The sequence below is a fragment of the Homo sapiens genome, chromosome 9, assembly GCF_000001405.40.
Source record: "Homo sapiens chromosome 9, GRCh38.p14 Primary Assembly".
NCBI lineage: Eukaryota > Metazoa > Chordata > Mammalia > Primates > Hominidae > Homo > Homo sapiens.
The window spans coordinates 36,548,509-36,559,926 of record NC_000009.12 but is presented as its reverse complement, the minus strand read 5'-3'; the positions used below and the strand labels follow the sequence as shown (position 1 = coordinate 36,559,926).

Below are 11,418 nucleotides of genomic sequence, written 5' to 3'. Positions count from 1 at the left end.
GTGGGTGCCTGTAATCCCAGCTTATCGGGAGGCTGAGGCAGGAGAATAGCTTGAACCCCAGAGGTGGAGTTTGCAGTGACCCAACATCACGCCACTGCACTTCAGCCTGGGCAAGAGAGAGAGAACCTGTCTCAAAAACAAGCGAACAAACCTTAACCAAGAGAACAGAAAGCACATAACTAAGAGGGTATAATTGTCAGAGGCATTTGAACTACAGCAACTCCGTCTTGAATAAAGCTGGGTAAAATGAGGCTGAAACCTACTAGGCTGCATTCCCAGAAGGTTAAGGCATTCTAAGTCACAGGATGAGATAGGAGGTCAGCACAAGATACAGGTCATACAGACCTTGCTGATAAAACATGTTGCAGTAAAGGAGCCAGTTAAAACCCACGAAAACCAAGATGGCGACGAGAGTGACCTCTGGGTGTCCTGACTGCTACGTTCCCACCAGCACCATGACAGTTTACAAATGCCATGGCAACGTCAGGAAGTCACCCAATATGGTCTAAAAAGGGGAGGCATGAATAATTTACCCCTTGTTTAGCATATCATCAAGAAATAACCATAAAAATGGGCAACCAGCATCCCTCAGGGCTGCTCTGTCTGTAAAGTAGGCATTCCTTTCTTCCTTTACTTTCCTAATAAACTTGCTTTCACTTACTCTAGTGACTCACCCTGAATTCTTTCTTGTGTGAGATCCAAGAACCCTCTCTTAGGATGTGCATCAGGAGCCCTTTCTGGTAACATAGTTATCAGAGAAATGATAATCAAGGAAACCGTAAATTGCTGGGAACAAAAGTGGAGAAGGAAAGGGACCTGCATGGAGCCCAGAGGGAAAAAGGATAAACTTTTTTTTTTTTTTTGAGACGGAGTTTCACTCTTGTCTCCCAGGCCAGAGGGCAATGGCGCAATCTCGGCTCACTGCAACCTCTACCTCCTGGGTTCAAGTGATTCTCCTGCCTCAGCCTCCCAAGTAGCTGGAATTACAAGCATGTAACACCACGCCTGGCTAATTTTTTGTATTTTTAGTAGAGACGGGGTTTCTCCATGTTGGTCCTGCTGGTCTCGAACTTCCGACTTCAGGTCGTCCGAGTTTGGGAGTAGCCTGGTCAACATGGTGAAACCCCGTCTCTACTAAAAATACAAAAAAAAAAATTAGCTGGGCATGGTGGTGGGCACCTGTAATCCCAGCTACTTGGGAGGCTGAGGCAGGAGAATCCATTGAATCCAGGAGGCAGAGGTTGCAGTGAGCCGAGATCGTGCCATTGCACTCCAACCTGGGCAACAAGAGCATGACTCTGTTTCAAAAACAAGACAAAACAAAACAAAACAAAACAGAAACAAAAAATTAGCTGGCCATGGTGGCGTGTGCCCGTAGTCCCAGCTACTAGGGAGGCTGAGACAGGAGAATTGACTGAACCGGAAGGCAGAGGCAGTGAGCCGAGATTGCGCCACTGCACTCCAGCCTGGGCGACGAAGGGAGACTCTGTCACAAAAAAAAATAAATAAACAAAAAAATACAAAAACTAGCCAGGCGTGGTGTTGGACGCCTGTAATCCCAGCTACTCGGGAGGCTGAGGTGAGAGAATCGCTTGAACCTAATAGGCGGTGGTTGCAGTAACCTGAGATCGTGCCATTGCACTCCAGCCTGGGCAACAGAGCACAAACTCCATCTCAAAAAAAAAAAAAAGAAAGAAAGAAAGGAAAAGTAAGACCAGGTGTGGTGGCTCATGCCTGTAATCCTAGCACTTTGGGAGGCCAAGGCAGGTGGATCACTTGAGGTCAGGAGTTTGAGACCAGCCTGGCCAACATGGTGAAACCCCGTCTCTACTAAAAATACAAAAATTTGCCAGGTGTGGTGGGGTGCTCTTTTAATCCCAGCTACTCGGGAGGCTGAGGCAGGACAATTGCTTGAACCTGGGAGGTGGCGGTCGCAGTGAGCTGAGATTGTGCCACTGCACTCCAGCCTGGGCGACAGAGCGAGACTCTGTCTTTAAAAAAAAAAAAAAAAAACTAAAGAGAAAGTTCAGTCTCCCAGGGGGAATGGATGGCAATGGAGGACAGTGGGACAAACAGAAAAAATAACAGCACCACTGTAAGGGGATGTCGGGTGGAGACAGGAAGGACAAGTGACTCCAATATAGACCAAAACAGAAGATTGGCACAGAAATGGTTGAGAACAAGTCTTGACAGCAAACTCCAGCATCACCACTGTTTTACAAAACATGAACACCATGGTTTAATATTCCTGGGTGTTGTGAGAATTAAATGAGATATGGATATAAGGTTCTTGGGCTTAATAAATTGTAACTATTATTTCATGCTATTAGACAGCATTAGACTATTTTATTTTTTTAGAGACAGGGTTTTGCTGTGTTACCCAGGCTGGAGTACAGTGGCTGATCATAGTTCACTGCAGCCTTGAAATCCTAGGCTCAGGCAATCCTCATGCCTCCACCTCTCAAAGTGCTGGGATTATAGGCGTCAGCCCACTGCACCCAGCAGCATTGTTTAATTTAATTTAACTAATTTATTTATGTATTTATTTTGAGACAGTCTTGCTCTGTTGTCGAGGCTGGAGTGCAGTGGCCTGATCTCGGCTCACTGCAACCTCCACCTCCCAGGTTCAAGTGATTCTCCTGCCTCAGTCTCCAGAGTAGCTGGGACTACAAGCATGCACCACCATGCCTGGCTAATTTTCTTTTTTTTTTTTTTTTTGAGACAGAGCTCCGCTCTTGTTGCCCAGGCCGGGGTGCAATGGCACAGTCTCGGCTCACTGCAACTTCCTTCTCCCAGGTTTAAGTGATTCTCCTGCCTCAGCCTCAGAGACAGGGTTTCTCCCTGTTTGTCAGGCTGGTCTCGAATTCCCAACCTCAGGTGTTCCGCCAACCTCGGCCTGAACAGCTGGGATTACAGGCACACGCCACCACGACGGCTAATTTTGTCTTTTTAGTAGAGACAGGGTTTCTCTCTCTTGGTCAGGCTGGTCCCGACCTCAGGTGTTCCGCCCACCTCGGCCTCCCAAAGTGCTGGGATTACAGGAGTGAGCCACTGCACCTGGACACCTGGCTAACTTTTGTATTTTTAGTAGAGATGAGGTTTCACCATGTAGGCCAGGCTGGCCTTGAACTCCTGACCTCAAGCAATCCTCCTGCCTCAGTTCAGGATTACAGGCATGAGCCACAGTGCCCAGCCTCATTTTAAAAGTAGCTTTGCTCCTGGGCAACTTAGTGAGACCACATCTCTACCAAAAGAAAAAAGCAAAAAAAAAAAGACTAGCCAGGCGTGGTGGTGTGTGCCTGTGGTCCCCGCTACTCAAGAGGCTGAGATGGGAGAATAGCTTGAGCCCGAGAGATTGAGGCTGCAGTGAGCAATGATTGTGCCACTGCACTCCAGCCTGGGTGACTGTCTCTAAAAAATAATAATAATAGGCCAGGTGTGGTGACTCACGCCTGTAATCACAGCACTTTGGGAGGCCAAGGCGAGTGGATCTCCTGAGCTTAGGAGTTCGAGACCACCCAGGGCAACATGGTGAAACCTGGTCTCTACTAAAAATACAAAAAAAAAAAATTAACTGGGCATGGTGGTGGGTGCCTCTAGTCCCATCTCCTCGAGAGGCTGAGGCAGGAGAATCGCTTGAGTCCCAGAGGCGAAGGTTGCAGTGAGCCGAGATCACGCCACTGCACTCCAGCTTGGGCTACAGAGTGAGACTCCGTCTCAAAAACAATAATAACAAAAATAATAATAATAATAAAATAAAAGTAGCTTTGAAGTATCGTGTTTGAGAATCATGATGATTTATTGTAGGTTCAATGAAGAGGACAAGTCCTGCCGTCTGGGATCTCACAGCAGTGTTTTTTCCCTTTTACTACTCCTTGAACCTGCGGCTATGGCATGCTGCTACCACCCGGTGGCAGCAGACCCCAATCACGGGTTCCATTGTTAGGCGAGATGACTCCTTTACAAAGATTATGGACAGAAAGACAAGAAGACATGAGGCACCTCCTGATGGAATGCACAGCACTGTGTATTAGGTAGCCTTGTCAAAAAAATCAAACCTGAATCCAATTAAGGCTCTGGATCCATACCAATTTATAGGAAATACAAGAGAGAAAGGAACATGCTCAACAACATCAGGAGGATGTTGGCAGCAAAATCCACACTGGAAAACTCTACAGAACAAATACCTAGTTTCTTAAAAATAAATAAATAAATAAAAGTAAGGAAAAGAAAAAGCTGAAAGGAGAATCTTCAGGTTAAAAATGACTGAAGAGGCCGGGCATGGTGGCTCACGCCTGTAATCCCAGCACTTTGGGAGGCTGAGGCGAGCAGATCACGAGGTCAGGAGTTCGAGACCAGCCTAACCAACAAGGTGAAACCCTGTCTCTACTAAAAATAGCTGGGCATGGTGGTGCGAGCCTGTAATCCCAGCTACTCAGGAGGCTGAGGCAGGAGAATCACTTGAACCTGGGAGGCAAAGGTTTCAGTGAGCTGAGATGACACCACTGCACTGTAGCCTGGGTGACAGAGCAAGACTCCATCTCAAAAATATATAAATAAATAAAATAAAAAATGACTGAAGAGACATATTAACAAATCACAATAAAAAAGCATTCATGGGACAATCAGGGAAATGTGAATTGACTGGATACTGGATGATACTCAGAAATCACTGTTAGGGCAGGCGCGGTGGCTCCTGCCTGTAGTCCTAGCACTTTGGGAGACCAAGGCGGGCAGATCACAAGGTCAGGAGATCGAGACCATCCTGGCTAACACGGTAAAACCCCGTCTCTACTTAAAATACAAAAAATTAGCCAGGCGTGATGGCTGGCGCCTATAGTCCCAGCTACTCGGGAGGCTGAGGCAGGAGAACGGCGTGAACCCGTGAGGTGGAGGTTGCAGTGAGCCGAGATTGTGCCACTGCACTCCAGCCTGGGCGACAGAGCGAGACTCTGTCTCAAAAAATAAAAAAATAAATAAAAAATAAAAATAATAAAAAAAGAAGTCATTGTTAAACTTTTGAGGCGCTCCTGATGCTATTATGATTATATTTTTCAAAGGAAGCATTCTGAAGTTTTCAATGAGATATGTAATTAAATACACGTAAATCATAGAATGTCCAAGATTTACTTCAAAATCATCTGGGGCAGAGAATGGATAAGAAGATGGAAACAAAGCTGACCAGTAGTTAACAGTTATTAAAGCTGAGTTATGGTATTTGAAAATTATATCTTTGCTACTCAAAATGTCAGCAGACAACCAGCACGGATGTCACCTAAGAGCTTGTTAGAAATGCAGGGCCTGGCAGGGCACAGTGGCTCACGCCTATAATCCCAACACTTTCAGAGGCTGAGGCAGGAGGGTCACTTGAGCCCAGAAGTTCGAGACCAGCCTGGGCAACACGGCGAAACCCTGTCTCTACAAAAAATACAAAAATTAGGCCGGGTGCGGTGGCTCACACCTGTAATCCCAGCACTTTGGGAGGCTGAGGTGGGCGGATCATGAGGTGAGCAGTTTGAGACAAGCCTGGCCAACATAGTGAAACCCCGTCTCTATTTAAAAAAATACAACAATTAGCTGGGTGTGGTGGGCGCCTGTAGTCCCAGCTACTTGGGAGGCTGAGGAAGAGAATCGCTCGAACCCGGGAGGCAGGGGTTGCAGTGAGCTGAGACCACATCATTGCACTCCAGCCTGGGCGACAGAGCAAGACTCCATCTCAAAAAAAAAAAAAAAAAATTAGCCGGGTGTGGTGGCATGCAGTCCCAGCTACTTGGGAGGCTGAGATGGGAGGACTGCTTGAGCCCAGGAAGGCAAGACTGCAGTGAGCAGTGATCGCACCACTGCACTCCACCCTGGGTGACATAGCTAGACTCTGTCTCGAAATAACAACAAAAGAAATGCAGAGCCTCAGGCCCTGCCAAAGACCTGCTGAATCATATCTGAAATTTAAAGAGATCCCTTGGTGATTCGCAGGCACACTAAACTTAAGAAGCCCCAAATTATATTATTCTGGGCCAGGCATGGTGGCTCATGCTTGTAATCCCAGCATATCGGGACGCGGAGGCGGGAGGATCACTTGAGCTCAGGAGTTCAAGACCAGCCTGGGCAATATAATGAGACCTCGTTTCTGTAAATAAATAAATAAATAAATAAAATTGTATTGTTCTGTGGGTTTTTTTTTTTTTGGTGTGTGTGTGTGTGTGTGTTTGTTTTTGTTTGTTTGTTTTTTGAGACGGAGTCTTGCTCTGTCACCCAGGCTAGAGTGCTGGAGTGCAGTGGCGCGATCTCGGCTCACTGCAAGCTCCGCCTCCCGGGTTCACGCCATTCTCCTGCCTCAGCCTCCTGAGTAGCTGGGACTACAGGCACGGCGCCCACCACTATGCCCGGCTAACTTTTTGTATTTTTTAGTAGAGATGGGGTTTCACTGTGTTAGCCAAGATGGTCTCGATCTCCTGACCTTGTGATCCGCCCGTCTCGGCCTCCCAGAGTGCTGGGATTACAGGCGTGAGCCACCGCGCCCGGCTGTGTATGTGTTTTTGAGACAGAGTTATGCTCTTGCCGTCCAGGCTGAAGTACAATGGCACGATCTCAGCAACCTCTGCCTGCCGTGTTCAAGCAATTCTCCTGCCGCAACCACTCGAGTAGCTGGGGATTACAGGCACCCACCACCACGTCCAGCCAATGTTTGTATTTTAGTAGAGACGGGGTTTCACCATGTTGGCCAGGCTAGTCTCAAACTCCTGACCTCAGGTGGTCTGCCCACCTCGGCCTCTGAAAGTGCTGGGATTACAGGTGTGAGCCACCACACCAGGCCTTTTTTTTTTGTGGGGGAGGGGGACGGAGTCTTGTTCTGTTGCCCAGGCTGGAGTGCAATGGTGTGATCTCAGCTCACTGCAACCTCTGTCTCCTGGGTTCAAGCAATTCTCCTGCCTCGGCCTCCTGAGTAGCTGGGATTACAGGCACCGCCCCCATACCCGGCTAATTTTTGGAATTTTAGTAGAGACGGAGTTTCACCATGTTGGCCAGGATGGTCTCAAATTCCTGACCTCAAGTGATCCACCTGCCACGCCTCCCACAGTGCTGGGATTACAGGCATGAGCCACTGTGCCTGGCCATGACAATACATATTAAATATTACATAAAATGTGGTCATCAGATATTGGTTGGAGTGAGTTGGATGAGGTCTGGATAACAAATATTTCTAATTTTCCTATCCGTAATAATTGTATCATAATTGCAGCATGTTTTTGTTAAAAATACAGCACATATTGGCACTTTAAGCTTTGCCAAAAACCTCTGAGGTTTTCATCATTGCAGATCTCAGGGATAGAAAACTGAAGTTTAGAGGGGTCAAATGACTCATCCAAGATCCCACAGCTCTTACATGGAAAAACCAGAACTCAAAACCAGGACTTCTAAGTCTTTGTTTTGGTTTTTTTTGAGATGGAGTCTTGCTGTGTCGCCTAGGCCGAAGTGCAACGGCATAATCTCGGCTCACTGCAAACTCCTTCTCCTTGGTTCAAGCCATTCTCCTGCCTCAGCCTCCCGAGTAGCTGGGATTACAGGCGTGCACCACTACGCCCAGCTACTTTTTGTATTTTTAGTAAAGACAGAGTTTTGCCATGTTGGCTAGGTTGGTCTCGAACTCCTGACCTCAAGTGATCCACCCTCCTCAGCCTCTCAAAGTGCTGGGATTACAGGTGTGAGCCACCGTGCCCAGTGATTGGCCAGAACTTCTAATTCGAAAGCCCGTCTTTTGGTACCACTACATCATATGTCTAGGAATTGAAATGAGTCCTAGGCATTTGTGGTTTGTTTTTATGTAATTTGGACTTAGTTTTAGTCTTATATATCTATTTTAAGAAGTTTCTTCTTCTAACCCAGCATGTTAGGCCACAGTTACTTTTGCTTCCCCTTTGAGCTCTACTGACATTCTGCTGGGAAAATAATGCTGCACTAGCTGTAAATCTTATTCTGGAGAAATGATCTCGACCCTTGATTCCCCTCCCCGCCCCCCAGACATTGTCTTGCTCTGTCGCCCAGGCTGGAGTGCAGTGGCATGATCTTGGCTCATGGCAACCTCCGCCTCCTGGGTTCAAGCAATTCTCCTCCCTCAGCCTCCTGAGTAGCTGGGATTATAGGCACATGCCACCACATCCAGCTAATTTTTGTATTTTTAGTAGAGACGGGGTTTCATTACATTGCCAGGCTGGTCTCAAACTCCTGACCTCATGATCCGCCCATCTCGGCCTCTCAAAGTGTTGGGATTACAGACACGAGCCACTGCGCCTGGCCTCAACCCTTGATTTATCTCATCCATAGGATTTTGAAACTTTAGGACTAAAATGACTGAGACGTGGGAATAGTATCAGTGATTCATGAATTTGTTTGTACATTGAAATACCTGGGGAACTTTTACAATTCTTGATGGCCAGGTCACATCCCAGACCAATTAAACTAGAATCTGTGAAGCAGGGACCCAGCCACAGGTATGTTTATAAAGTGCTCTAGACAATCTGAATGCACAGCCTAGTTTGAGAGCCAGTCATCTAATGATTCTCAGTAGACACAATGCTACCATCTGGGTAATATTTTAGAAATTTGTGGGCAAATTTTGATTGTCAAAGTACTAAGAATGGCTGAAATAAAAAATAGTGATGATGCCAAGAGCTGGTGAGGATGCAGAGACTCTGAGTCACTCATACTTTGCTGGATGGGACGTAAAATGGTACAGCCGCTCTGAAAAATACTTGGGCTGTTTCTTCTTCCTTTTCTTTTTTCTTTTTTTTGAGACGGAGTGTCACTCTGTTGCCCAGGCTGGAGTGCAGTGGTGCGATCTCAGCTCACTGCAACCTCCGCCTCCCGGGTTCAAGCAATTCTCCTGCCTCAGCCTCCTGAGTAGCTGGGATTACAGGCGCGCGGCACCATGCCTGGCTAATTTTTGTATTTTTAGTAGAGATGGAGTTTCACCATGTTGGTCAGGCTGGCCTCGAACTCCTGACCTCGTGACCTGCCTGCCTCAGCCTCCCAAAGTGCTGAAATTACAGGCATGAGCCACCCTGCCCGGCCAGGGCTGCTTTTTTTTTACCACCCAAAATGGACTTAACATATGACTCAGCAATTTCACTCTTGGTCATTTTTCTCACATAAAATTTTTTTTCACACACAAGCTCGTAATAGTGTTCACAGCAGCTTTATTCATAATAGCCAAACACTGTAAATTATCTAAAGGTGTTTTTTTTTTTTGAGACAGAGTGTCACTCTCACTCAAGCTGGAGTGCACTGGCATGATTTCAGCTCACTGCAACCTCCGCACCCCCAAGCTCAGGTGATCCTCTCACCTTAATCTTCTGAGTAGGTGAGACTACAGGTGTGAACCACCAAGCCTGGCTAATTTTCATTTTTCTGTAGAGACGGGGGTTTGCCATGTTGCCCAGGCTTGTCTTAAACTTCTGGGCTCAAGTGATCCTGCCTGCCTTGGCCTCCCGAAGTGTTGGGATTACAGGCATGAGCAACCACGCCCAGCCTCTAAATGTCTTTCAGTAAATAAATGGCTGAACTGCGGAACATTCAAACCATGGACTACTACGCAGCAATCAAAGTGAATGAGCTATTAACACATACAACTTGGATGAACCTCAAGTGAATCATACTAAGTAAAAATAGCCAATTGGAGGTTGCGATGAGCCCAGATCGCACCATTGCACTCCAGCCTGGGCAACAAGAGCGAAACTCCATCTCAAAAAACAAACAAACAAACAATAATAATAATAATAAAAATGCCAATCTAGGTAGGGCTGGGCGAGGTGGCTCATGCCTGTAATCCCAGCACTTTGGGAGGCCGTGGCGGGCGGATCACCTGAGGTCGGGAGTTCAAGACCAGCCTGACCAATGTGGAGAAACCCTGTCTCCTCCATAAATACAAAATTAGCTGGGCATGGTGGCACATGCCTGTAATTCCAGCTACTCAGGAGGCTGAGGCAGAAGAATCGCTTGAACCTGGGAGGCAGAGGTTGTGGTGAGCCGAGATTGCGCCATTGCACTCCAGCCTGGGCAACAAGAGCGAAACTCCATCTCAAAAAAAAAACATTCTTTCCTTCATGTTAACTTTAGATAACCTGACAACAATGTGCCTTGGAGATGATCCTTTTTTTTTTTTTTTTTTTTAAAGACAGAGTCTTACTCTGTTACCCAGGCTAGAGTGCAGTGGCACGATCTCAGCTCATTGCAACCTCCACCTCCTAGGTTCAAGCGATTTTCCTGCCTCAGCCTCCTGAGTAGCTGGGACTACAGTCATGCACCACGACACTGGCTAATTTTTGTATTTTTAGTAGAGATGGGGTTTCTCCATATTGGTCAGGCTGGTCTCGAACTCCCAACCTCAGGTGATCTGCCTGCCTCAGCCTCCCAAAGTGCTGGGATTACAGGCATGAGCCACCGCGCCTGGCCATTTTTTTTTTTTTTTTTTTTTTTTTGGTGATGATCTTTTTGCGATGAATTTCCCAGGTGTTCTTTGAGCTTCTTGTATTTGGATGTCTAGGTTTCTAGCAAGGCTGGGGAAGTTTTCCTTGATTATTCCCCCAAATATGTTTTCCAAATTTTTAGATTTCTCTTCTTCCTCAGGAACGCCGATTATTCTTAGGTTTGGTCGTTTAACATAATCCTAGACATCTTGGAGGCTTTGTTCATATTTTCTTATTCTTTTTTCTTTGTCTTTGTTGAATTGGGTTAATTTGAAAACCTTGTCTTCGAGCCCTGAATTCTTTCTTCTGCTTGTTCGATTCTATTGCTGAGACTTTCCAGAGCATTTGCATTTCTATAAGTGCATCCATTGTTTCCTGAAGTTTTGATTGTTTTTTATTTATGCTATCTTTTTCACTGAAGATTTCTTCCTTCATTTCTTATATCTTTTTTTGATTTCCTTAAATTGAGCTTTGCCTTTTTCTGGTGCCTCCTTGATTAGCTTAGTAACTGACCTTCTGAATTCTTTTTCAGGTAAATCAAGGATTTCTTCTTGGTTGGATCCATCGCTTCTGAGCTGGTGTGATTTTTGCAGAGTGTTGAAGAACTTGTTTTGTCATATTACCAGAGTTGGTTTTCTGGTTCCTTCTCATTGGTGTAGGCTTTGTCAGAGGGAAGGTCTAGGGATCAAGGCTGTTGTTCGGGTTCTTTTGTCCCATGGGGTGTTCCCTTGATGTGGTACTCTCCCCATTTTCCTAGGGATGTGGTTTCCTGATAGTAGAACTGTAGTGATTGTTATCTCTCTTCTGGATCTAGCCACCCAACAGGTCTACCAGGCTCCTGGCTAATACTGGGGGTTGTCTGCACAGAGTCATGTGATGTGACCATCTGTAGGTCTCTCAGCCATGGATACCAACACAGTATTTAGGGTGTCTCCCAGGTCCTGCAGGAGCAATC

At 46.4% G+C, this 11,418-nt stretch overlaps 3 annotated features.

Moving 5' to 3' along the window:
- Positions 1,052-1,662: an enhancer, noted in NCBI's record as "H3K27ac hESC enhancer chr9:36558262-36558872 (GRCh37/hg19 assembly coordinates)". NCBI's record gives its function as "activates a minimal SCP1, AML or CMV promoter by ChIP-STARR-seq in naive H9 embryonic stem cells {active_cell/tissue: H9 hESC(naive)}" and the evidence as "EXISTENCE:reporter gene assay evidence [ECO:0000049][PMID:30033119]".
- Positions 7,783-7,922: an enhancer, noted in NCBI's record as "active region_28354". NCBI's record gives its function as "activates an Ori minimal core promoter by ATAC-STARR-seq in GM12878 lymphoblastoid cells {active_cell/tissue: GM12878}" and the evidence as "EXISTENCE:reporter gene assay evidence [ECO:0000049][PMID:35858748]".
- Positions 9,026-9,305: an enhancer, noted in NCBI's record as "active region_28353". NCBI's record gives its function as "activates an Ori minimal core promoter by ATAC-STARR-seq in GM12878 lymphoblastoid cells {active_cell/tissue: GM12878}" and the evidence as "EXISTENCE:reporter gene assay evidence [ECO:0000049][PMID:35858748]".